The sequence below is a fragment of the Homo sapiens genome, chromosome 6 (genome assembly GCF_000001405.40).
Source record: "Homo sapiens chromosome 6, GRCh38.p14 Primary Assembly".
Classification (NCBI taxonomy): domain Eukaryota; kingdom Metazoa; phylum Chordata; class Mammalia; order Primates; family Hominidae; genus Homo; species Homo sapiens.
The window spans coordinates 132,743,586-132,768,906 of NC_000006.12; the positions used below are offsets into that span (position 1 = coordinate 132,743,586).

Below are 25,321 nucleotides of genomic sequence, written 5' to 3' on the forward strand. Positions count from 1 at the left end.
ATATGTGTATTTTGTAAAAAGTCAACCAAATGCTGAAAATAGTGTAACTTTTAACTGTCATGGTCTTTGTGTTATGAGATTTCTGCCTGTTAAATTACGCCATAGCCTTAAGGTGGGACAGCTGGGGCTATGAGTGCCCTGGGTCAGGTCTCCTTTGATATGAACTTGGAATAGCCATCAATTCTTCTAGCACTCAAAACTACGTTCACTGTAGAAATAAATGTCGACATTGCCTTTTGATTGGAAAGTAAATCTCCTGATAAACATTAGCACAGAAAACTAGGTGAATTCAAATAGTCTTTAATGTCAAAGGGAATTCAGTCATAAACCTCTAAATTCCCATCATTACTATTCTCTTCAAGGGCACAGCTATGTTTGCAATGGCCCTGAAACTCCTCACTCCCATACATACAAGTCCCCCATACACACAAAGTCTCAAGCAAATGAGGCTGGAGCTGGAGTTTGATCTTCATTTATCTGACCCAAACACCCAGGCTCTTTCCATTGTTCCACACTGCAACATTTCAGAGTAGCCAAAAAAATGGACAACATTATCATAATACTTAAAAAATAATTATTGATGAGAAAAAATATTTAGGACTCACTGGTCTATACTACTGAAATAGCCCTTCAAAGTTTCTTAGTAAACTTGGGAAGCCGATAAACACATTCAGCCAAGCATATGATGCAGAAGCTGAGTGATAAAGAGACGCCCTATAACATTACAATATTTTGCAAAGCTATGATCATTAATAATATGAATATTAGCAGGTAAGTTATTGCTGAATTGCTGGTCCCACATGAGCTGTAAAGTGAGTCCTTTGTGTACCACCTCCCAAAGAGTGACACTGTTAGTATAGGCCCAGATGATCCATTCTTGTTTACCAAACGCCCATCTTTCAGCACCTAAAGAAAAGGTGGGAAAAGTACAGTCAGCTTTCTTAACATAGAAGTTAAAAGCAAATTAATCATTTTGAAACCATCCTAGATATAATGTATAGTCAAATCATTTCTGATTTAGGAGGATGCAGCAAGTAGGCCAGGCAGGGGACAGCCATTTACTACATAATGAAGACTAGAGCAATTCAAGAGGGCCCAAGATTTTAGTTTCAACAATCAAATGTAACCATTAATGGAAAGTCAAAATCAGCAGCAGCAATTCATTGAGTTCGATTATGTGCAAGACAATCAGGAACCAGAGAGTTATACATCACATCCTTCCCTCAAGAAGCTAAAGAGCTAATGGTGAAATGGAGCGGATTCTAAACATAAAGAGAGAAATCAGTTTATCAGTGTATCAGAGAAGAGAACAGGTAAGTGCTAGGAGGTCTGAGAAAAAAAAAACTGAACTGGTCTGTTTCACGGAGTGGGACACAAGCTGCCAAAAACTCAAGCTGTTAGGAATTTCTTTCAAGGGCTGTATGGTGGAAGACATTGTGGGAAGTGGACATTGAACCAGCAAAGGCTCATTCTGAGACAGAAGTGTGTGTGACAGATCAAGGCAATGTGAGTTCTCATTCTAGATTGGTTAAAACCAGTGGTGTGCTGGAGCTAGTGGTGCACAGGCTCATGAGAACAGATTGTTAAATTTCCAGGAAATTGGACAGCTGGCTGTTAAACACAGCCATTCTTTTTTTCCCCCTTTTTTGAGATGGAGTCTCGCTCTGTCACCCAGGCTGGAGTGCAGTGGCATGATCTTGGCTCACTGCAACCTCCGCCTGCTGGGTTCAAGTGATTCTCCTGCCTCAAGCTCCCCAGTAGCTGGGATTACAGGGGCGTGCCACCAAGCCCAGCTAATTTTTGTATTTTTAGTAGAGACAGGGCTTCACCATGTTGCCCAGGCTGTTCTCGAACTCCTGGCCTCAAATGGTCCTCCCAACTCAGCCTCCCAAAGTGCTGGGATTACAGGCGTGAGCTATCAAACTCTGCCAACAGATCCATTCTTGAAGCTGGTGGGATCATGGCGGGAATATTGACACAATGAAAACTGGCAAATTCCATAAGTCAGGGCTTTTTGTTTTCTACCTCAGAGAAGGAATTGTTTAAAGTTACATCACACCACTGGCTAGCGCTGAAGATTAGTGAAGAAGAGAAGAAGGAATATGATCAGAGGAAGGTGGAGATCAGACTGTGAAAGGCATTAATGACTAGATCTAGCCTGAAGCCACAGTGGAGTTTTCATAAGAGAGGAATATGTACAAAGCAATTGAACAAGAACAGAAGGAAACATGCATAGACAGTCAATAAACAGAACAAGAATAAAAGAAAATGAACCCATTAGTTGTGGAAATGGAGTTGGAATGGAGAAGAAATTGAAAATTGGGAAATTAGTTGGAGTGGAGAAGAAATTGAAAATTAGGAAAACAGATGCTTTACAACTGGGAGGAGAAAATGACTAAATATCCTAGAAGATAATGATTGTACTTCACCATTCACAAAGTGTCTTCACATGCATTATCATATTTGATCCTCACCAAATCAGTGAGGAAAATATTCTCTTCTATGAGTAGGAAATTCAGAGGTTAAGTGACTTTCCCAAGGTTATCTAACTAGTTAGTTACAGAGAACAGACTCTGCCAGTGCTTCTGACAATACACCAGAGTTGCCTAAGGTGCTAAAGCAAGATGTTTCCACATTTGTGGGCATGGTGAGTAACACCACCCTTTTAACATAAAACTAAAGTGGTGGTGGGGGTTGAGGATACACAACAAGTGTGTTGAAATCTCTGCAATAGTGATCCTCTAAGATAACGTGTAAATATCTATGGAGAGAGTGTGCATCCATCAACAGAACTGAGAAGCTACTCAAGAAGCCATAATGAGCATGACTGATGTAAAACATTTGTCATCTTCAATATTATGACTGCTGTTTCTAGAAACAACATATTCACAGAAGGGCCATGCCCTGCAAGGTCTCTAGAGAAAAGAAGCACTAAAAAAACCAAGAATGGGTTATTGGACTTTTTTTTGGCTCTTTTTGAGGAAAGTGGGCACCTTGATCCTACATGGTCTTCAGATCACCAGCCCTAAAGAGAAGAATCACATTGCCTCAGGCTTCTGTGGGTTCTTGGAAATCTTTTCCAAGAATGCCCAACTCCTTTTGTTTTAATTCTGCACTCACAAAACAAACTGATCTATCATTTGTACTTTTGAGAGGATTTGCCAATGAAGAGTCTCCTTGACATACAGTTCATTGTTCCCAGCTAAGGGAACCTATTTTTTAAAATAACAAGTTGGTGTTCTCGCTTATCTATCTTGCAAATTTGATTAGTATCTGTTCCTTAGAACCTGATGAACTTCAGTGAAAGTCATGCCACAGAGAATCTACACTTACAAAATAAAGACCTGCCTCACCCTCATCATGATGCTCCCTCCAAGGGACTACAATTCCAAAGACCCTCCCTGCCAGCTGTCACATGGCTCTTTCATATCTTTTTTGGTGTAATACAATCTATATCTCATTTCCTTCTTCTGCAAATGGTCTGGAGCAGGTAAGACAAGATCCAAATAATGATTACAGGTGCCCAATTTAAACGGTAGGTGCTATGCCCCCTTCCCTCCTTCCTTCCATCTAAGAAGGAACCAGAGATGGGATACAGCATGACAAGTTCACAGAATCATTAAAAGTTGAGACCTACTGATACCATATTTACCCTAATGTGATTATTACACATTGCATGTCTGTATCAAAATATCTCCTGTAACCCATAAATATATACACCTACTATGTACCCACAAAAATTAAAAACAAGGCCAGGCATGGTGGCTCATGCCTGTAATTCCAGAACTTTGGGAGGTCGAGGTGGCAGATCACTAGATGTTAGGAGTTCGAGACCAGCCTGGCCAATATGGTGAAACCCCATCTCCACCAAAAATACAAAAAGTAGCTGGGCGTGGTGGCATGCACCTGTAGTCCCAGCTACTTATGAGGCTGAGGCAGGAGAATCGCTTGAACCCAAGAGGCAGAGTTTGCAGTGAGCTGAGATTGCACCACTGCACTCCAGTCTGGGCAACACAGCGAGACGCCATCTCAAATAATAATAATAATTAAAAATAATTTAAAAAAATGTTTAAGAGTTGAGATGTACAAATACTATGGAGTTAAGCATTTAAACATGTATTCTCTTGTATCATTCTCTAACTCTTCTTAACTGCCTGAAGACATTTGGGATGAAATTTTTAAAACAAAGAAAGGAAGTAGTAATGGAATAAATTATTTACGTTCTCCAACTCTTCATGCACTATCACCATCCACCTTCAAACACTTATGTGGTTCAGAGTAAGAGTGAAATGGTATTTCTGGCTTTGGACCTTTAACCTAGTTTGGAAAACTCTAGCATTTTTTTGTCCTTCTCCCATGGATGAAGTAGTTTCATCAGGTAAATGTTCAGTCCTACTATGGGACAATTCCTCAAAGAGATAGATTTCTATGAGTACAAGACATGGAAAAAGTGGCAAAGTAGTACGAGAAAATTAGATTGTGTGCTCAGTTTAAATCTTCAGGCTTACAGAATATAATGCATCAATATGGCTAGACCCTATGTCCTCCTAAGTTTACCTTGGTGACCCTGATTTCTCTCTCTCACTTCCTTGAAGTGATCTCAGATAGATATTTATGTCAGTCCAGCCACCTTTTAGCTACTGGATTTTAGCCCCAGACTCCTTGCTGTAGATTTAATCATGATTTTCTGTAGTTGGCACTTCAGCTTTTATTCCAGCCTCAATTTGCTCATGAGATTCTGCCTAAACAGGTTCTATGGCAGCAAAGCATTCCTGATCTTTGGATTTTATGGCCTTAAGGTTACACTGTATGTTAAATTGTTGGTTTCATAGAATTAAGCATTTTTATAAGTATGATATATTCCACTCTGATAACACAGCAGATACAGATACATGACCATAAGCAATCTGCAATTTTAAAGACTTCCTTACTTGATGCCTTGATTGAATTAACTTGGACCCTATTTTATAGAATATGCAATGATTTCACCCTAGTTACTGAAACCCTGCCACTGTTTGCCACAATTCAGAGAAGACATTAATATTCAAACCACTGGAATATGTGTATGTATGCGTGTATGTGCATGTGTGCAAGTGTTGTATATTAGCAGATATAAGCCTGCAGAGTCATAATTCTAATTTGAAGCCAGCTTAATTTGTGAATTAATTAGCTACAGCCACTGTAATTTATGAACAAATGCTGGGTGCAGTGGCACATGCCTTTAAATCCTAGCTACTCAGGAGGCTGAGGCAGGAGGATTGCTTGAGCCCAGGAGTTTGAGGCTTCAGTGAGCTATGATCATGCCACTGCACTCTAACCTGGGTGACAGAGCAAGACTCTGTTTAAAAAAAAATGTGAAATAAACATCTGATTTTCTGTTTGTCTTCACTAGTGACAAAAGGAAATTAAAAATCTATAAACAAACATTCTTCAATGAATGGTATCTCAGACTCACAGTTCTAGGTATGTTCTTTATTATGTTCTTCCAATGAAGTATCATCATTTTATAATTAGTTGTTATAAATTGAAAAAATGATCACAATATTTTCCCCTCCTTGACCCATGTCCTTTTGCCGTGTGATTTTATAGCTCTTCCCATTGAGAGGTCTGAGTTCTTCATTTCTCTACCATTTGAATCACCACTGCTCATGTAACTTCCTGTGTTGATGCAACATTTGCAAACACGGTGCAAGCAGAGATTTGCAAAGAACTTGCAAAGATTTGTTTTTCTCTTGATGCTCCTGGACTCATTCAGCTAACATGTGAACAAGCTCAGGTTTGCTGAAAGATGAGAGACCACGGGGAGAGATGGCCTTAATAATCCCAGCTGTCCAGGACAAGGCAATCACAAACTGGTCAGTCCTAATCAACCCACTAGCCAATGGCAGACACAATGAGCCCAGCCAACGTCAACTGAGCCTATCTCAGACCAGAAAAACAGCCTACCTACCCCAAGTTCAAATTGCCAACCCACAGAACCAGGGCTAAAGAAATGGTTTTGAGGAAATTTGTTACACAGCAGAAGTTAACTGGCAGAGTGGCTATAGCTTGTTTTACTTGACTTCAGAGAACATATAAAATGAAAATACTCTTATAAAAGTCCTCTTACCTCAAATTTTCCAGGTGACAGATGAATTTCGGTAAGTAGCACTTCAGGAAAAACATACTCTGTTCCAAATGTGCCACTGAGGGAGAACATTTCAAATCTTGTAGAAGCAGTTTCTACTGGCCGTCCACAAGTTGTCAAATTAGTAGTTTTGCACTTCAGCAGTGTGCAGACCTATGTGGAACAAACGCAGATAAAACGCAATGCCTTACATTGAAGTTACTCATACCAGAAATGTTGCCTTAGTTTTTAACTACAGCGAAGCAAACATTATCTTTCTCTGAAAAGGGATTTGGATCATGTGTCTTATAATTAACTGCTTTATTAAAAATGGCCAGTGACTTGAGAATCAACCCACTTCCTAAATAACAAGCGGATTAAGAGAAAGAAGTCAGTTTAGAATTAGAGTTAAACCATTAGTTTGGTATGTCAGATGATGGCATCGAGCTCAATGAAGTGGAGATCTTTGGGCAACAATAGTACTGAAGAGTACTGAAGCTGAAAGGATATTAAAATTTTTTCCACCCTTTAATCTCACCTCTCTTCCCAATCCTTTTCTTTAGAAGAAGGCAGTGGGACATGGAGTATAATAGGAAAATACAAATTCAGAGCCAACATTCTATAAAAAGTTTCATCTTTAAAATTTGTCATTTGAAAGCAATACAAGGCCAGGTGTGGTGGTTCACACATGTTATCCCAGCAATTTGGGAGGCCGAGGCAGTCGGATCAGCAGAGGTGAGGAGTTGGAGACCAGCCTGGCCAACATGGTGAAACCCTGTCTCTACTAAAAATATTTTGTATATGTGTATATATATATATATATTTTTCCAGGTGTGGTGGCACATGCCTGTAGTCCCAGCTACTCAGGAGGCTGAGGCATGAGAATCGCTTGAACCTGGGAGGCAGAGGTTGTAGTGAGCCGAGATCATGCTACTGCACTCTAGCCAGGGTGACAGAGTGAAATTGTCTCAAAAAAAAAAAAAAGAAAAAGAAAAGAAAAGAAAAAGAAAGCTATACAAAACCCGGGACATCTGATTAGAAGAGAAACTAAAATAAAAGTAGTATCTCTATTTACTGTTAGTTTTGCAAGTGAAAATAAGACTGTTTATAATTTAGATATGTTGGCAAACCCACTTAAGGAAGTCTTCTTGATGTTCTCCACAGTAGGCTGGTTTATTAGTCAAATCGAAACTCATCATGGTTAGGTTAATAATTTTTTAAATATGCTTAAAGCAAGCAATAAGATTATACTTAATTCCCATTGTAAATATTTTATCCCAGTGTATGTACGTGCATAAATGCACGTGTGTGTGTGTGTGTTGTGTGTGTGTGTGTTGCCATCAATGCATGGAGTCAAGCCAAGGAAAAGCACCTGGTTTTCTGGAACAAATATAAAAAGTTAACCTGGAATTTACCTTTCACTTGAATGCCCTTTCATTTGAACTGAAATTACCTGCCAGTACTCTCTTCTCCTTCGGCCATGTAATCCTGTAAAAGCTCCTAGAACGTATACTTCATTCTCTTCTTTTTGTAACATTCTGTAGCTTAAATGACAGCAAAGCTCCTTTTGACAGACTGTAAGGTTTCCTGCATTTTCAAAAAGTTCTGTGAAGTTGAACCCATCCCTGGAAATAAATCCCCTGAAAGTGTTTTTCTGTACTGGAAATGGTTTGATGGTGGTGGCGTAGGCATTCCAATTAACAGCTGTTGGGTAGGCAAGCGAGGATAGGGGATGTGAATCCACCTCTGAAAGGAGAAGTTTTCCCAACTCTGTCTTCATGTCATAATGATACACTTTGGGACCATTTGGTGCATAAATACCACTTCCTGTGAATGAAAGACAAGTCTTCTAAAAACAACACCACACACAAAAAAACCAAAACTGCCAATTTCCCCATCAGAATTGGGCATGTGATCACGCCACCATATTAGTCACGATGAGAGAGGATACATGCTTCTAATTGCACTGAACACCTAACTACTTCTATTCTCTAATGGAAGAGATTAAAATAAACATTCCTTGGTCTCATTTCAATTAAACCTTAAATATAATAGCATTATTTATTAGCATTATGGAAAATTAAACCAACTACAAAAATCTTTGTAGTCAGGAGTTCCTGAAAGGTGGGGAAAGGGAATAAAAATTCTCCCCTATTCCTCATTGTGGTGGTTTTCAAATATATCCAAAAATTCCTTAAAATTCTTCTTTCTGGTGGGAGGATCTAATTCCTTTCCCCTTGAAGAGGGGCTGGACTTAGTGACTCACTTCCAATGAATAGAACATGGCAGAAGTGATGGTGGGTAACTAGTCATAAATAGCAATGTGGCTTCTTTCCTTTTCTCTCTTGTCCCCTCTCATTAATTGCTCTAGAGGAAGACAGCAGCCATGTCACGAGGATATGCCATGCAGCCATAGGAGGAGACAAAGGGCAAGATATAGAGGCTTCCATGGCCACTGAGGAAAGTAGTAGCTGGGTAGCATTTGGCAAATTACTTGCACTCTCTGTATGTCAATTTTCTCATCTGCAAAATTGGGATGACACTATCTATCTCATATAATTATTGTAATAATTAAATGAATAATACACATAAAGGTCTTAGTATAACCATAGCTTATAATCAAGTGCTAGCTTTTTTTTTCTATTGTGAAACTATGACAAACACAGTAAGAATTTCCAATAAGCAAAAAATTAATACAAGTCATAACTGAGGCATTCATTTCTCTGCACTTAAAAATATAAGATGAAACCTAACCTGGTCATGAATTACCTGTCATATTTAGGCTGACATGATGTGTGTTGGCCACAAGAAGATTAACTCCCATTCCCATTGCCCAAGCTGAATGGAATTCAATAGCTGTCAAAAGGGGCAAAACGTTCATCCAAGCTGTGGGAAACAGTATGGTGTCCACATGGAAATCTTTCACCAGGGTAACACCAGGATCATAGAAGAATATATCAAAGCACGTGAAAATGCCAAACCTTCCAAATGCGGTGTTGAAAGTCACCAACTCCGGCTTTTCAGGGACATTAAACTGAGGCTCAGAGTACAGGTGGTACTACAACAAATGGATAGGAGAAAACCAGTAAAACCTTATTTGTTGAAGAAATGACTCATAAAAACCCTCTAAGTTGGTAACAGATTTGGCTATGGTCAACTGCAGGGAATCTCCTAGGAAGCGGATAAATCTGGCAATTGGAAGTAAATTTCTAAGGAAAATGTGGAGGAATATGTAACATACGTCCATAGCATCTCTCATCTCCTCTCTCTCCCTTCTCTCTCTTTCCCTCTCTCTCAGTTAAGAGCCAAATACCCCCCCATAAACCCCAAAGTCCGTAAGCTTTTTTTAAATTTAATTTAATTTTATTTTTCTGAGACGGAGCCTCGCTCTATCACCCAGGCTGGAGTGCAGTGGCATGATTTCGGCTCACTGCAATCTCCACCTCCTGAGTTCAAGCGAGTAGCTGGGATTACAGGCACGTGCCACTATGCCCGGCTAATTTTTTCGTATTTTTAGTAGAGTCGGGGTTTCACCGTGTCAGCCAGGATGATCTCAATCTCCTGACCTCATGATCCACCCACCTGGGCCTCCCAAAGTGCTGGGATTACAGGAATGAACCACAGCACCTGGCCCTATAAGCTTCTTAAAAGTTAAAAAACATGCATTATTCTTCTTTGAATCCTTGGTGCCTAGAAACGTAATATTAATAGATGCATAATAAATACCTGTAAGTCAGGTGAGAGATGTCATCTCTCTCTTTAGTGTCCCATCCAAAGTAATCTCAGTGACTCTTGCCCACCTTTCAAAATTACCATAGAAATGTATTTAATTTCCCGATTCCTTCTAGGTAAACTAAAAAAAAACTTAGTCTAATATAATAAATGGAATCAACAGTTAATAAAATGGTCTGCAGTGTAGAAAAAATATCTAAAAAATAGAAAAGAAATTGGGCTTTACTACTATTTTAAGAATTGACAGGCCAGGCAAGGTGGCTCATGCCTGTAATCCAAGCACTTTGGGAGGCCAAGGCAGGCAGATAACTTGAGGCCAGGAGCTCAAGACCAGCCTGGCCAACATGGAGAAACCCCATCTCTACTAAAAAATCCAAAAATTAGCCGGGTGTGGTGGTATGCACCTGTAATCCCAGCTACTCAGGAGGCTGAGGCAGGAGAATGGGTTGAACCTGGGAGTCAGAGGTTGCAGTGAGCTGAGATCGTGCCATTGCACTCCAGCCGGGATGACAGAGCCAGACTCTGCCTAAAAAAAAAAAAAAAAAAAAAAAAAAAGGAATTGATCGACAAAGGTATTCTCATTAGGTTCACATATGTCAGAGGTCATGGGTTACAAACGGTCCCTGAGGTACCCTCAGGGAAGAGTGAGAGCCTTTCAACTTAGACAGGGTGACTGCAGGTTCCTTGCTAGTTTGTCCACATTCAGTGCACTGTGCCATCCTGCATATTTACAGAATGGCAGAATAGCTTCAAATGATTACTGCAAATAAACTGCATTGAAAGATAATACAAATAATGCAAACAATCTCCCAAGCAAGAAAATGGAAGCACTGACCTTTCTATTTTTACTATGAGACACATTTTAAGAAGAAAGTGAAATGCAGTGATATATATGAAAAGAAGCTGTCAAAATCCACAAAATTATGAAGAAAGCATTTTGAAATTGTTGCACTTTATAAATACACACACAAAAATACATATATTGAGGACTTATGTTAACGATTTTTTCCAATAGGGGTCCATGATCGAAATCATTTGAAAACCATTGGTTTAACATCCCTCCTCTTAATTAATATTTATATTTTAACTGAGACTGCCAGGAGATAATTTCTCCACTCCAAAGATTCTGAGGCTACAGTTTAAGATGCTTACAAAATATCTGGGTGTGGAGAAGGGACATTCATACTGCCTGTACATCACACATATCCATTTAAAAGGCCAGGCTTCTTTCTCTACCTAGTTTAGTATAAAATTATGACTTAAAGGTTATTTGATTCCTTTTTTCAATTCAGAATTTAAAGTAAACATTTTATGGTTTGATCTTAAATCTATAAGATGGTAATTAAATTAGCTGGTGTAGAAAATAAGGTATTTTGTGGTTTGATAGCAAATTAACTTATGCAAAGCTGATTCATACAATTTTGAAACATCTTTCTACCATTTCAATATTAAATAGTATTTAGATTATGGCTGTGCTCAGTGGCTCATGCCTCTAATCTCAGCATTTTGGGAGGCCAAGGTGGGAGGACTGCTTGAGGTGAAGAGTTCAAAGACAGCCTGGGCAATGTAGTGAGACTCTGTTTCCAAAAAAATATTTAAAAATTAGCATGGTGGCACATGCCTACAGTCTCAGCTACTTGGGAGGCTGAGGCAGGAGGATCACTAGAGCCCAGGAGTTTGAGGTTAACAGTGAGCCATGATGGCTCCACTGCACTCCAGCCTGGGCAACAGTGAGACCCTGTCTCTAAAAAAATATAAAATTATTGAAACAGTGCCCAGATTATAGTCACCTTAGTATCTTTTTTTATGTTAAAATTATTTGTTTTATATGTGCAAAAAGTTTATCTCAATCCTGGACCATCATGCTACTTTTTTTTTTTTTTAACAGTTCTCTGCCTACATGTTTTTCTGAGTAGTTTTTTACAACGTGTCATTTTCTTTTTTCTTTTTCTTTTTTTTCTTTTTTTTTTTTTGAGAGTCTCCCTCTGTCACCCAGGCTGGAGTGCAGTGACACAATCTCGGCTCACTGCAGCCTCCACCTCCTGGGTTCAAGCAAGTCTCCTGCTTCAGCTCCCACATAGCTGGGACTACAGGCATGTGCCATCACGCCCCGCTAATTTTTGTATTTTTTAGTAGAGACGGGGTTTCACAATGTTGGCCAGACTGGTCTCAAATTCCTGGCCTCAAGTGATCCACCTGCCTCAGCCTCCCAAAGTGCTGGGCTTACAGGCATAAGCCTCCACGCCCAGCCAAAAGTGTCATTTTCTTTATTGCCCACTTTCAAAAAACAAAAAACAAAACAAAACAAAAAAACCCTCTAGTAATATTGTATCATATAGGGAATGAAATTCAAACTCCTAAACCCAGCATTGACCACTCACAACACGCTCCATTTTACACGTCCGTCACTCTCTCTTACCTTATGGTAACGTGCCACGAGTTTTCCTTCTGTATTATACACCACATTGGTATTGTATTGAAAGTAGCCATTAGGAGGACATGTGGAGTCACGGGAATTACATGGCTTTTTGTCCCCCAAATTTGCCAAGACATAGATAGAGTTGTCCTTGGCCAGGCAGCTGAGTCTTGCTTGTACTGGTGTGTGACCAAATCTAAACCAAATTATAATTAAGAAATTTCAATTTTAAAAAAATATTTTAGTCACTTTATATGGAAACGATAGCAACTGTAACCACTTAAGTGGAACTTAAGTTAATACAAAAACTATGCCTAAAAATATCATACTTTAAAAGCCACAGATGATTATACACTTGATGAATGCTTCCCACACGGTATCTATTGCTCCAGAAATTCATTATTCGGTCTCCTGCCTCATCAAGGGTCTCCTCTCTACTGAAACATCCCATCAGCAATGAAATATCCTCTAGTACCTCCCATCTTTAAAAAATAAAATTAAAACCTCTTTTGACCTTTCCAAACATGCCCTTCCAAATATTGCTTTAATCCTCATCTCTCTCTTAAAGCAAAACTCCTCAAAAGATCAGTCCCTCTTGCTGTTGCCAGTTCCTCCTCTCCCATTCCCTTTCAGAGCACTCCAACTTGTATCTCTATCACCCAAACTCTTACTAATGCCAGCAGTGACCCCCACATTTTACCTGATCTCATCTTAACTTTTCAACAGCAGTTGGCACAGTTAATTACACCTCCTTCTGGAAACACCTCACTTCTCTATTGGACCCACCCTCTCATTTTCCTATTTATTGGTTGCTCTTCTTCGACTCTTCTGCTGATTCCTCGTTTTCTTCCGAGTCTAAACACTAGAATTTCCTAGTGCTCAAGCCTTATACCTAAACTCTTCTCTAACTCACTCCACAGGTGAACTCATCATGGTGTTTAACACCATCTATATGCTGACATTTGATTTTCTATCTCCAGATATAATTTTGTCTTTTCATGCCAGACTTGTCCATGCAACTGCCACGTTGACACCTCCAGGATGACAGTAGGACCCAGATTTTTAATATATATTAGAAGGTTTCTAGATAACCTTTTCCCAGGAAAATTAGATTTGTGAGCCTAGGAAAATGCAGTTTCAAAGCATAAGGTCTTATGATTCACTTGAAAATACATGGTGAAGTCTTTCTGCCTAAGAAGCAACTCTGGAATGGAGAGACTCTATAACATTGAAAGGGTGTCCCTTCAGCAGAGGCTTTGGAATGTATTCCTAACACAATCCACTGTCTACTTCAGAAATTAAGTTACTACTTGTATCTATGAGATCTCTTCCCTTAGTTTTTCTTGCAGGAATACCCTATTTACACATTTTCTCAAAATTTAATAAAGATTTTCAATCACAAAAGATTGTTAAATAGTATCTAAGTACAATTTTTTAAAATCTGACAAATGTTGAGATAAATATAACCATAACATATACCACATATATGGTAATTCAAGAGCAATCATTTTGCTTTGGTGAACGTGCGCATTTTAGAGAGTTACTTTTGCACAAAAGACTAAGATAGTTAAAATACCTGTGGGGGTCTTGACACGGAATCCAGTTCACCTGAGGGTCTGGGATATCCTCCAGATAAGGGAAAACAGTTTCCCTGGTAAATTTCCATCCATAAAGTGCATCTTCTGGAGTCACAATGATTCGAGCACCCTGTTCAAAACAAGCAAAATAAAAATGATTTTTCCATGTACAACACAGACAATTCAGCTCTCTCGTCTTCCACCAGCTCCCATGCCCCTCGTGTACATTATGATTAACAGAAATAAGAGAATACCTGCTCAGCTGCCTGCTTGATCGCTGTCTCCAGAATGTCTATATTCTCGTTCATGAGATTCAAGGCATCCTCCTGAGAAACTGGTGTTTCTGTTTTATTTGGCAAAATGACAGCATGTTCATACACTGCAGCTATAAAACTGTCCTGAGTACCAACCTGCAGGGTTATTAGGGCAAAAACTGCCACAGAGATTGGAAAAGAGGAAGTGACCATGGCCAAGGTTTAGTGATTTCTGAAAGCAAAAATAACATTCATGTAGTATTTACAGAGGGGAGAATGTTTGCATAACATGTGGCTGCCAGTTACTGGCCTTTTACTTTATCATCATTTTTCTTCTTCTTCTTCTTCTTCTTCTTCTTCTTCTTCTTCTTTTTTTTTTTTTTTTTTTTTTTTGAGGCGGAGTTTGCTCTGTCACCCAGGCTGGAATGCAGTGGCGCAAGCTCAGCTCACTACAACTTCCACCTCCCAGGTTCAAGCGATTGTCCTTCTTCAGTCTCTGAAACAGCTAGGACTACAGGTGCGCGCCACCACGTCCAGCTAATTTTTGTATTTTTAGTAGAGATGGGGTTTCACAATATTGGCCAGGCTGGTCTCAAACTCCTGATCTTGTGATCCATCCACCTCAGCCTCTCAAAGTGCTGGGATTACAGGCGTGAGCCACTGCACTTGGCCTACTTTATAATCTTAAGAACGCAATATATCTGACCACTTTTAAAGAAAGAAAAGTTGCAGTCCATTTAAGACAATCAGAAAGTATTACAGGGATTGAACAGCATGTACTATTAGTACTAAGATTTAATATTGAATTTCCAAAAGACACCCGAATTCAAATATAGAACAATTCCAGCTTTTGTTAATAGAAACTCATAACTAACTCTCGTGTAAAAAAATCACATCCCAACAAATATCTCATTTATTAAATTTAAAAATTGACAACAATTTTTTTGGTTCTGTTGAGTCACTTACATTGTGTTTATTTTTAGACGGGGGGGAAAATATTAAATACTTACTACTAAGAAAATGTAACACAGGACAATATTGATAACAAAATTTACCCAAATCTACACTCTGACTTACTTATTGCTATTAAGGACTGAAAACATGTGCTCCAGAAAAGCAGGATTTTGTGTCTGGTTTGTTCACTGCTGTATAGTTAGTGCCTACAGCAACAATACCCCGAGGCACCTAGGCCAGAGGAGGAATCTCAGCTCAGGGGCCCCAGGCCTCAGGATACTCCGCTTCTTTCCTTCTTTCTCTCTTTCACCCTTCCCTCCCCATCCTCCCCCTACTTCTCCTTCTCCTCCTACTCCTTCTCCTCCTTCTTTTTCCTCCCTCCCCACCCCCTGCTTTGGAGGAAGATGCCAGGGAAGGGGAAGAGTCCAGGATTGGTGATAAAGATCATCTGTGTTGTAATAAGGAGAAGATGTAACTTACATTTTTGTTAGCAGCAAATAACAACAATGAGTTTAAAAACAATGCTAACAGGCCAGGTGCAGTGGCTCATGCCTGTAATCCTAGCACTTTGGGAGGCCGAGGCAGGCAGATCACCTGAGGTCAGGAGTTCAAGACCAGCCTGGCCAACATAGTGGAACCCCCCATCTCTACCAAAAACACAAAAAGTAGCTGGTCGTGGTGGTGGGCGCCTGTAATCCCAGCTACTCGGGAGGCTGAGGCAGGAGAATCGCTGGAACCCAGGAGGCAGAGGCTGCAGTGAGCTGAGATCACACCATTGCGCTCCAGGCTGGGCGACAGAGCGAAACTCCGTCTCAAAAAAAAAAAAAAAAAAAAAAACAATAATAACAACAAATACAGGATGTGATCTCAGATGCCTTCTTAGGACATTCATATTCTCCCTTCCCCAGGCCCAATCCTGCCAAATAAAGGATTTGTTTTATTTTTATCCAGCCCTTTGGTAAAAGTCACGGAAATGCTTTTAGACAGCATAGAAGAGTAGGTACGATTAAACAAAGTTTATTCTGTGCTTTCCTTCTTACTGAGATAAATGTTTTGTTAAGAATGGGGCCTAGGGGCTATAAATAAGATCTGCTCATATTTTCTGCTTTGAATAGAAGTTTCTATTAAAGGAATAACTTTTCTTATCTCTATAGAGCAGAAAACTAAAAATAATTCAGGAAAAATGGTCAAGCCCTTTTGTGGAAAATGTAAAGGGATAGATATTTTTATGAATTTTTAGCAGATTGTATAATAGACTGTTAGTATATAACCATACTATCTAGTGTATAATTAGTAAATTAGCATAGGTGATTGGTATATAATAGATTATGAGTGCTGTTAGAGTTTAGAAATCATGTAACCCAAATGCCCACTTATTACAGGATAGGAATCTGAGGCATAGAGAGCTAGAGCGACAGAGCAGGATGTTCGCTTCTCATTCCTGATTCCAGAGTCTTTCCTTTATACCTAAAACAGCACATGTGTCTGTGCTCTCTTTTAATGTCTGCAACTGAGTGTCTGAACACTCGTGTCTTTTGGGGTTTTTTTGTTTTTTGTTTTTTTGTTTTGAGACAGAGTCTTGCTCTATTGCTCAGGCTGGAGTGCAGTGGTATGATCATGGCTCACTTCAGCCTCCACCTCCCAGGCTCAAGTGATCCTTCCACCTCAGCCTCGCTAGTAGCTGGAACACCAGGTACGCACCAACATGTCAGGCTAATTTTTGTTATTTTTTGTAGAGAGGAAGTTTCACCATGTTGCCCAGGCTTGTTTCAAACTCCCGAGCTCAAGCAATCCACCCACCTTGGCTTCTGAAAGTGCTGAGATTATAGGTGTCAGTCACTGCAGCCAGTCATTCATGTCTTTTAAAGAACCCAATTCAAAATGATCACCTTAAGAAGACCATAGGCAAATTTGCTAAGTGCTAATGAAATTTCTGATGCAGTTGATGCCTAATAAAAACAATTAAGCTCTTCCATCTCCATAAGTACAATTTGGGCCATGACCTACCTTCATTGATCTAGTATCACCAATTAGTAATACTTAATTAACTCTTTTGCTTTTAAGTAGTCAGGTAAGCTGATGAGGAGGAGTTAACAGTTTTATAATTTTGGCAGTAGAAGTGGGGACAATCATATCTGTTATTGTGTTCCCAAATCTGGATGTTTTTCTCTGTCCTTGGCTGTAAAAGATAGAAATGATGTTGATCAGAGTTTTGGATTTTTTGTTTGGCTAACAGGGAAAGGGAAAATCACTTCTGATATAAAATCAAGATGACTAAATTCCCTCCTTTGTTTTTTTATTTGAAGCATCTAAAAATTGTCTCATTGAAACTGAGAATTTGAGTAACAAAGGTAATTGCAAAAAAGAATTAGAAGTTAGTAAATGAAGGAGCAATTTAAATATAGGAAAATCCCTGAGATGTGAAGAAAATATTTGCTGTAGAGGTCATTGATATTGTTTTAAATCTTCAGAAGTAAAAAACCAAATTCAGGACATACAGTTTCAATAGTTGACTTTTCATAAAGATGATTGATCAGGTAAAGATTAAAATTTTTAGTTTAACTGAATTATAAAATAAAGTAAGGTTATTTTGCCACAGGGAACATTGATTAATTGTAATTCGTTGCTAAAAGAGCCTACTTCCTAATTTGCCATTTTGGGATTAATGAACTTAGCTAAAGGGGTAAAAAGTTAAAATCAATTAAAAATTATTTGGTCAAAGAGTCACCATAAAAAAAAAAAAAACAGTATTGGGGTGGGCGCAGTGACTCATGGTTGTAATCCCTGCACTTTGGGAGGCCGAGGCGGGCGAATTATTTGAGGTCAGGAGTTCGAGCCCAGCCTGGCCGACATAGTGAAAGCCAGTCTCTACTAAAAATACAAAAACTAGCTGGGCATGGTGGCAGACGCCTGTAATCCCAGCTACTCAGGAGGCTGAGGCGGGAGAATTGCTTGAACCCAGGAGGAGGAGGTTGCAGTGAGCCGAGATAGCACCATTGCACTCCAGCCTGCGTGACAGAGTGAGACTCTGTCTCAAAAATAAAAAACAAGCAAATAAACGAAAAACAGTAATAGCTCAAATATTTGTTTCTAATTGTGAATCTGATCATCTGTTAGAATAATGTTCAATTGGACTAGGTTTTAGGTCTTTAATTTTAAAAACCTCATTTTTTTCCCACTTTCTCAAGAGTAAGCATAGGGGTGTAGTTTCTGCTTTGCACCACTTCTTTGGACCTCTATTTCTCATCTAAAAGTTTAGGTAATCATACCTGCTCTATCTCCTAAAGATATGTGAAAGTCCTCTGTAAGACTACAACGCAGATGACAATAATTAACAAAAGTGAGTGACTATTTAGTAATATAATATCCTGACTGCTTAATATTATTTCATTGTTAGGCCCACAGAACTACTGTTGTTCAATTCAAATTCTAGTCTATTTGGATGACCGTGCTGAAGAACTGCTGGAATGAAATGGGGTTGACAGGGTACCTGGGCATCAACTCCTGATTCGTGCTAAACCCAGCGTGGTAGAAAAACTGCAGTGGGGTAGCAAAGGTGAAACAAGAAAACCAAGGAACTCAACCCCAGGAAGGAGAGGAGCTGCTCCAGGCTCTGACACTGGCTACTGGACTTCCTGTTCTGTCCCTTCTCCTGAATGCAAAATGACAAGTGAACTGAGAAACAAAGAATGGGAAATATCATGTATTATTATCAATGACATTCTCACAGGCAGCAAGGGTGACACGTCAAAATAAGAATAAGAAGCAACAATAGGCAGAAAAGCCAGGCTCCAGTGTTAAAACTGTTCCTCTTAATACTGTATACCAAAAAAGTACAATACTGTATCCAAAAAAAGTACTTAATGGCAAAGAAAAACGTTTCTGTCTCTACACCATTGGAGTATTACATATGGCTTTAGTGAGACTGAGTCAGGCCCTGTAAAAGGCAAGGTTGCCTTGAAAAGAACCAGCTTGAACTTTAACCATCTTTTGGGGCCAGGTCTCATTCAGATGAGGTAATCTTCCAGCTTTAGAGTTGGATGGGTGTTCAATGCTTCAGATAGCTAATGAACACAGCTGAAACCAGAGCAAATCTGAGAAGGTAATGATATATCACAGCCTTGGATTCTCTGAAAGCACTGCTAGATGGAAATGCTTGTGCAACATGAAATTGCCAATCATCACTGTTTTTGACCTAGCAAAAGTAATTTCACATGGTTCAACCAACATGTCTGTTTTCCTGTCTCAGAAACTTAGGGTTGAAGTTGCAGAAGTCCCTTTGAGTTAGTAGCATCCTCCCCTACTTTCCGACAGCTCCTGCTTCCTTAAAATAAAATATTAACAATATTAATCTCATAGGTCCACCCACTATGCCAGTCTATTAACCCTGCCAAAAGTTTCTTGCATTCACCAGCCGGTCCTTTTAAAAAATTAAAAATTCTCTTGACTGAATTAAAAGCTTTTGGTAAAGTCGGGATGACTGTCACCACAGAAATAAATCCACAGGAACTGGATCCAAGTCACTCGTTGATTTATGTAGGCAGTTGGAGAGACATGCGTTTGAAAGGGTATGGTAAGAAAATATCATGGAAATCGCAGACTTAAAAAAAAAAAAGATAGATTAAAAATAGAAAAGTTTATGTCTTATTGATCAATATGAGAATGTCACAGCAATCCACCAATAATGCCACTTGTTTATTTTCAGTGAGCAAGGAAGCAAAGAAAAAATAATGTTTGCAGCCCAAGGTAACTACTTACAGCTTTAGTCAAGGGGGAGCCTTCCACTCCTCTGGATCTCAGCTGCTTTCCTTTCCAAGGCCTGTGCTCCTCCAGTCACCCCTGGTGACTTCCTGTTTTGATTTCACTTTCTGGGTGGGCCGTACCCTTTGAGATGACAGACAGGAGTCCCAGCAGCTGCTGGTTCAAGGATGCTGCATCTTCAGTCAGACACCAGGAGAAAGAGTGTCTATTTTATTCTAGCCTGGCAATTCTGATTCCTGAGCTTTTCTTTCAAGGAGTTGTATGGGCCAGATGACACAGGCGAGGAGCATTGACACAATTTCTACTGAACCAAGCTCAGCAGAGGAACCACAGCAATAGAATCAGGAGATTCTCTAGCCTACAAAGCCTAAGTCGACTCTCATATTCATGTCATAGTCTTTCTCTTTAGCACATTATTCTTTTACTGTAAGACAGATCCCACTCCAGACTGTCCTTCAAATTAGAGAGAACTAAATTGTGTATGGTCCTGCATCTAGTTATGGAGAGCTTTTTTCTCACTGTAAGTTATAAGGGTCATGGTGGTATCTAATAATAATTAACATGGACATGGACTCTGGGGCCAGAATGCCTGGGATTGAGCCACTTCCTAGCTATGTGACTATGAGCAAGTTTTGTGCCCTCTCTGTGCCTCAGTTTCCTCTATCTGCACAATGGTGATACGTGCTGAATAATTTTTGCTATTATTACTATTGCTTCATTCCTACAAGATGGAGGCCCTATTACAAGAGCCATGCCCAAGGCAGCTTTTACCCAGGGTTTGGTGACATAACCACCTGTCCTTGGTTACTGTCTTGTTAAAAGAATGTCAATGTGTCTACTTCTTTATGTTTGCATTGTTCTGTCTGTCTCCACAAAGTCTTTCAAGTTTCCTTTCTTCCAGGTCAACCTGATCTGAATGGTTTCTCCTAAAATTATGAACTTAAATTCTGTTTCTACTTGCTAATCTTGATGGCATTCCCTCCATTTGTACCACAGATTCTCTTTCTGATAAAAAGCTTTCACTCCACCTATTTCATGCACCATTCTATTTTTTAAAAAACATGCTAAACAACCTGCTGTGTAACTGGATTACTCACACATTGCTGTTGGGAATGTAGGATGGTACAGCCACTCTAGAAAACAGCTTGGCAGCTCTCTGAAAAGTGAATCATGGCTCTACTCCTTTCCCTCTCTGGGTGGCAGCCAGGCATGGAGGCAGGGCAGGATCATAGCACCTCCTTTACCCTGCTTATCCTTCCTCTGGGGAAGGCTGACAGGACAGGAATTTAGAGGCTCCAGTAGGGGAAGAAATTCTTTATGAGCTGTTTCTTCAGTTTCTTGTAGGCTAAAACATTAACCACAGTGACTACATGCAAAAACAGAAAAATGGAAGTCTGGCATTTGTCTGCATTTTTTAAACACCTTAAAATGTGAGTCGTATGCCATAGTTCTACTGAATGGAGTTTGTTTATATGGAAAGATCAATTCATGCACAATATCAATTGGAAATTCTCACTCTTCTGAATCATCTCACCAAAGTTTTCAGTGCTGTGTTATGATAAATTCCTACAGCTATATGAATGAAGAAGCTGTGGGCAGATCTTAAGATAAATTAAGATAATTTAAGATGTTAAAGATAAATTTAATAAATTTATTATTAAGACAAATTCTTAATTCTCACAGCTATATGAATGAAGAATCTGTGGGCAGATCCTCCTTTCCCATGCAGTTCTTTCCAATTAATAATGTTGCTTTACTGCAATAATACTGTTTTTCCAGAAGATGCAGTAGCAAGCATACGATCCAATGCCATAGCTGTCTTACTGCATGAGATGATTGCCTACTTCCTAATTCACATCCCTGTCTCCCTCACTAAATCGTGTTCCAGAACTACAGGCTGGACCCAGCTTACTAACAACCAAGACACGAACCACCAAGCCATTCGCATTTTTATCAGATAACTAAAACGAAAGAGACAAAAGCCGACCAATAAACATGGTGATAGAACAGAAAACAATAGAAGAAATAATCATAGCCAAAAGTTCTGAAAATATAGGGAGAAGAAAAGGTATTAGTACTATTCTCAGATGAAAGATTTATCTACACTGGCTTTAATTCTCTTAAAAGAAAAAAAAACCTACCTGTATTTATGCAATAACTGATTTCATGGCTGTCATTTTTGAAATATACAATAATGTTACTTGATTGATTCGGTATTCAATTTTTGTCTTGACTGACAAAAACAAATGATATAATATACTGCTTTTTGTGTCTGGCATGCTATTGTTGACCTATCATCAACATGAAATACACTCTGAATTGTTTTAGTACTGATGATAAAATTGCACTGAGCTACAAGTCAAAATTTGTTATGACATCATGCTTTCCTAGGTGGTCCCTTGTAATACTCAACTATAAGTAAGCTGGGATTAGAAGTCCAGCTGTAGGTTTTCTGAAAGAAACTACTGCAAATATTTAGGAGTTGCAAGCTGCTCTTAATGAAGATTGGCTATGCAGAATTTAGTTTCCTTTGTTAATACTTTAAATAACATTTTAGCTTCTCCATGTAAATATGTTGTGTCTGAGCCTCCCCTCCTGTGGGTTTGTTTCATAAAACGGGGTCATGTGACAGTGACACCAAAGAAATGGTGAGTATCATGGGACTACCCTGTGGGTAATTTCCTTCTGATATGAATGTGTAGAGATACTTCTCAATTATTAATTGCACTTAATGAAAGTTGATTGGCTATATAAGAATTTATTATCCACATCTTTTCCAGCTAGGTTAGAGAGGGTATCTGTGACGTATTTAAATCTTGATCATTAAACAAATAAGTAAATAGGATATTTCTTATTTATTTATTTATTTATTTATTTATTTATTTTGAGACAGAGTCTTGCTCTGTCACCCAGGCTGGAGTGTAGTGGCGTGATCTCAACTCACTGGAACCTCCGTCTCCCAGGTTCAAGCGATTCTCCTGCCTCAGCCTCCTGAGTAGCTGGCATTACCATGCCCGGCTAATTTTTGTATTTTTTTGTAGAGATGGAGTTTCACCATGTTTGCCAGGCTGGTCCTGAACTCCTGACTTCAGGTGATCCGCCCACCTCGGCCTCCCAAAGTGCTGGGATTATAGGCATGAGCCACCATGGCTGACCAGATATTTCATTAATGCGTGATATTTAATATTTATTGTCAAAATCAAGTTTCTTATCTAAAATAAATGAGTTAGTTGAAAACAAACTAATCATGCAATTATCACGCAACTCAGCAGTTGTATTGCTGGGCATTTATTCCAGAGAAGTGAAGTCTTATGCTTCATATCCCACCCTCTACCCTCGCCCCTGGCAAAAACAAACAAACAAACAAACAAAAAACCTGTTTCTGAAAGTTCATAGCTGCTTTATTTGTAACAAATAAAGTAGTATTCCATTGTGTCTTAAAGCCACCCAATGGAATACTACTCAGCAATTTAAAGAACTGAACTATTGATACATGCAACAATGCCAATAGAACTCAAGGGCATTATGCTGACTGAAAAAAGCCAATCCAAAAAGTTTCATACAATACGATTTCATTTATACGTTTCTTGAAATGACCAGATGATAGAAATGGAGAAGAGATTAGTGGCTGCCAGAAGTGAAGATGGGAGGGAAGTGGGTGTAGCTACAAAAAGACAACGTGAAGAATGTGGCGATGGGAATGTTCTGTATCCTGGTTGTGCTATTGTACTATAGTTCTGCAAGATGTTATCATTGGTGAAAACCAGGGAAAGAATACTCATGATCTTTTTCTATTATTTCTTACAACTGCATGTGAATTAACAATTATCTCAAAATTTTTAAAGTTTAATTTTTAAAAATGATCTGTGATTTGTATTTAACCTTTTTAGTTTTCCTTTGGATTGATTTATGTATCATATTATAATGTATAGGTTGCAATATGATCTTAACATAAAAGATTCCTTTTATTACTAACATATTCCACATTCAGTTATATAGAATATTCTCATTATTAAAAAGGTTCTTTTAAGCTGCTCAGCCTTGTTACATTTAGAAGACTATAAATATATAAAAATACAAACACATACACAGAGATTTCCTTTGATAGTTTTGACCTACCTTTTGGTTTTCTTGTTCAAAGTGTTCTTTCCTCTGTCTTTTCTCATATTTTTTAAACTTTTCTGTGACTTTTTTTTTTTTTTTTTTTTTTGAGACGGAGTCTTGCTCTGTCACCAGGGTGGAGTGCAGTGGCGCAATTTCGGCTCACTGCAACCTCCTTCTCCCGGGTTCAAGCAATTCTCCTGCCTAAGCCTCCCAAGTAGCTGGGACTATAGGCGCACACCACCATGCCCAGCTAACTTTTGTATTTTTAGTAGAGATGGAGTTTCACCAAGATGGTCTTGATCTCTTGGCCTCGTGATCCATCCACCTCAGCCTCCCAAAGTACTGGGGTTACAGGCGTGAGCCACTGCTCCCGGCCCACTTATCTTAATACTTGCAAAATTTCAAAATGAGAAAGGAGTAAATTTGGTTTTGTACATAGCATCTTTAAATACACTGCTATCCAAGGGAAGTATTGAGAGCCGTGTGTTGGGAATGGGGATGAAGGAAGTTCTCTCCCCAGAGAGCCTCGAATCCTTGCGTTGACTTTGAATTCTCAACAATCAACTGTGCTGGTAACAGAATAGGCTGGCCCAGATAGTGGGTAGGAAGGTGCAAGCTGCAGACTCATGCTTTAATAGTGGCCCCAAGTGACAGTGGCAGGGACTGCAGGCACTCAGCCGCATCCAAGACCACCGGGCTGAGGAAGGGCGGCTGTCCTTGCGTGGGTGGACATGAAGGTCAAAAAAGTCCTGGAGGGGGCCAGGATGACTTAAGGCAATCAAGGCCCAGATCTGCATGCCACATGGGTGCAGGGGGCCAGGGTCACACTCTGTCCTGGCACTGCTCCGGGAAGGGAATTGCAGGCCATTTGTCCTCCTCAGACATTGGATCGCCCTCTGGAGGTTCAAGAGTGAAAGGTTTGAGGGGATAGGGAAATGAAGAGATCACAAGACAGATGTACATCCAGTCTTGACACTCAATGCCAGGCAGTCTTCCAAAGCCATCCTCTCCTACCCTGGGTATTGTCCTCCTTTTCCATATTTTTGGTTTTGGTGGTGTGCAATGACATCCCATGGTGGCTTGAACTTTTGCCACTTCAGGATCCGTTTTGCTCCTATTCCCCAATTCACTAAGAGTCACCACCATCCACCCACACCCTCAAGCCAAAACCTAGGAGTCCTCCTAGATTCCCCTCTCCTCCCTCCACATCAGCAAGTTCTGTTGGTTCCACTCCCAGATAGAGCCTTTTCTCTCCATCACAAGCTCCCTGGTCCAAACCATTATTGTCTCTCTCAAATCTTCCAAAGCTCCCCCTCCATTCCCTTTACCGTCCCTATCCCCACTCACTGTCCACATGCAGACAGAATGGACTTTCTGAAATGTGAATCAGATTCTGGCATCGCCTCCAGTTTACTAG

The 25,321-nt window shown here is 39.6% G+C and overlaps 1 protein-coding gene and 1 pseudogene across 17 annotated transcripts, besides 4 other annotated features; one reads left to right on the top strand and one right to left on the bottom strand.

Annotated features, from left to right (window-relative positions):
• Positions 285-19,870, bottom strand: VNN2 (vanin 2). 17 transcript variants are annotated; one of them, XM_006715593.4, is made up of 9 exons: positions 19,798-19,870; positions 17,047-17,218; positions 14,086-14,174; positions 13,831-13,961; positions 12,258-12,450; positions 8,876-9,164; positions 7,560-7,933; positions 6,110-6,280; positions 285-906 (listed from the first exon to the last, which is right to left on the bottom strand). In XM_006715593.4, the coding sequence occupies exons 3-9, from the start codon at positions 14,137-14,139 to the stop codon at positions 715-717; spliced, it is 1,404 nt and encodes a 467-aa protein (XP_006715656.1). In that variant the 5' UTR covers positions 14,140-14,174; positions 17,047-17,218; positions 19,798-19,870; the 3' UTR covers positions 285-714. The 17 variants fall into 17 exon arrangements, 10 of the variants coding, with proteins under 10 accessions (XP_006715656.1, XP_047275434.1, XP_047275437.1 ...); XM_047419478.1 differs by having other exon boundaries at positions 14,086-14,317; XM_047419481.1 differs by having other exon boundaries at positions 18,530-19,870.
• Positions 5,190-6,389: an enhancer, noted in NCBI's record as "MED14-independent group 3 enhancer chr6:133069914-133071113 (GRCh37/hg19 assembly coordinates)". NCBI's record gives its function as "activates an origin of replication core promoter dependent on BRD2, BRD4, P300/CBP and CDK7 cofactors, and independent of MED14, by STARR-seq in HCT116 cells {active_cell/tissue: HCT116}" and the evidence as "EXISTENCE:reporter gene assay evidence [ECO:0000049][PMID:35650434]".
• Positions 16,666-16,855: an enhancer, noted in NCBI's record as "active region_25073". NCBI's record gives its function as "activates an Ori minimal core promoter by ATAC-STARR-seq in GM12878 lymphoblastoid cells {active_cell/tissue: GM12878}" and the evidence as "EXISTENCE:reporter gene assay evidence [ECO:0000049][PMID:35858748]".
• Positions 19,785-19,884: an enhancer, noted in NCBI's record as "active region_25074". NCBI's record gives its function as "activates an Ori minimal core promoter by ATAC-STARR-seq in GM12878 lymphoblastoid cells {active_cell/tissue: GM12878}" and the evidence as "EXISTENCE:reporter gene assay evidence [ECO:0000049][PMID:35858748]".
• RBM11P1 (RNA binding motif protein 11 pseudogene 1) lies at positions 21,075-21,872 on the top strand (annotated as a pseudogene).
• Positions 24,621-24,780: an enhancer, noted in NCBI's record as "active region_25075". NCBI's record gives its function as "activates an Ori minimal core promoter by ATAC-STARR-seq in GM12878 lymphoblastoid cells {active_cell/tissue: GM12878}" and the evidence as "EXISTENCE:reporter gene assay evidence [ECO:0000049][PMID:35858748]".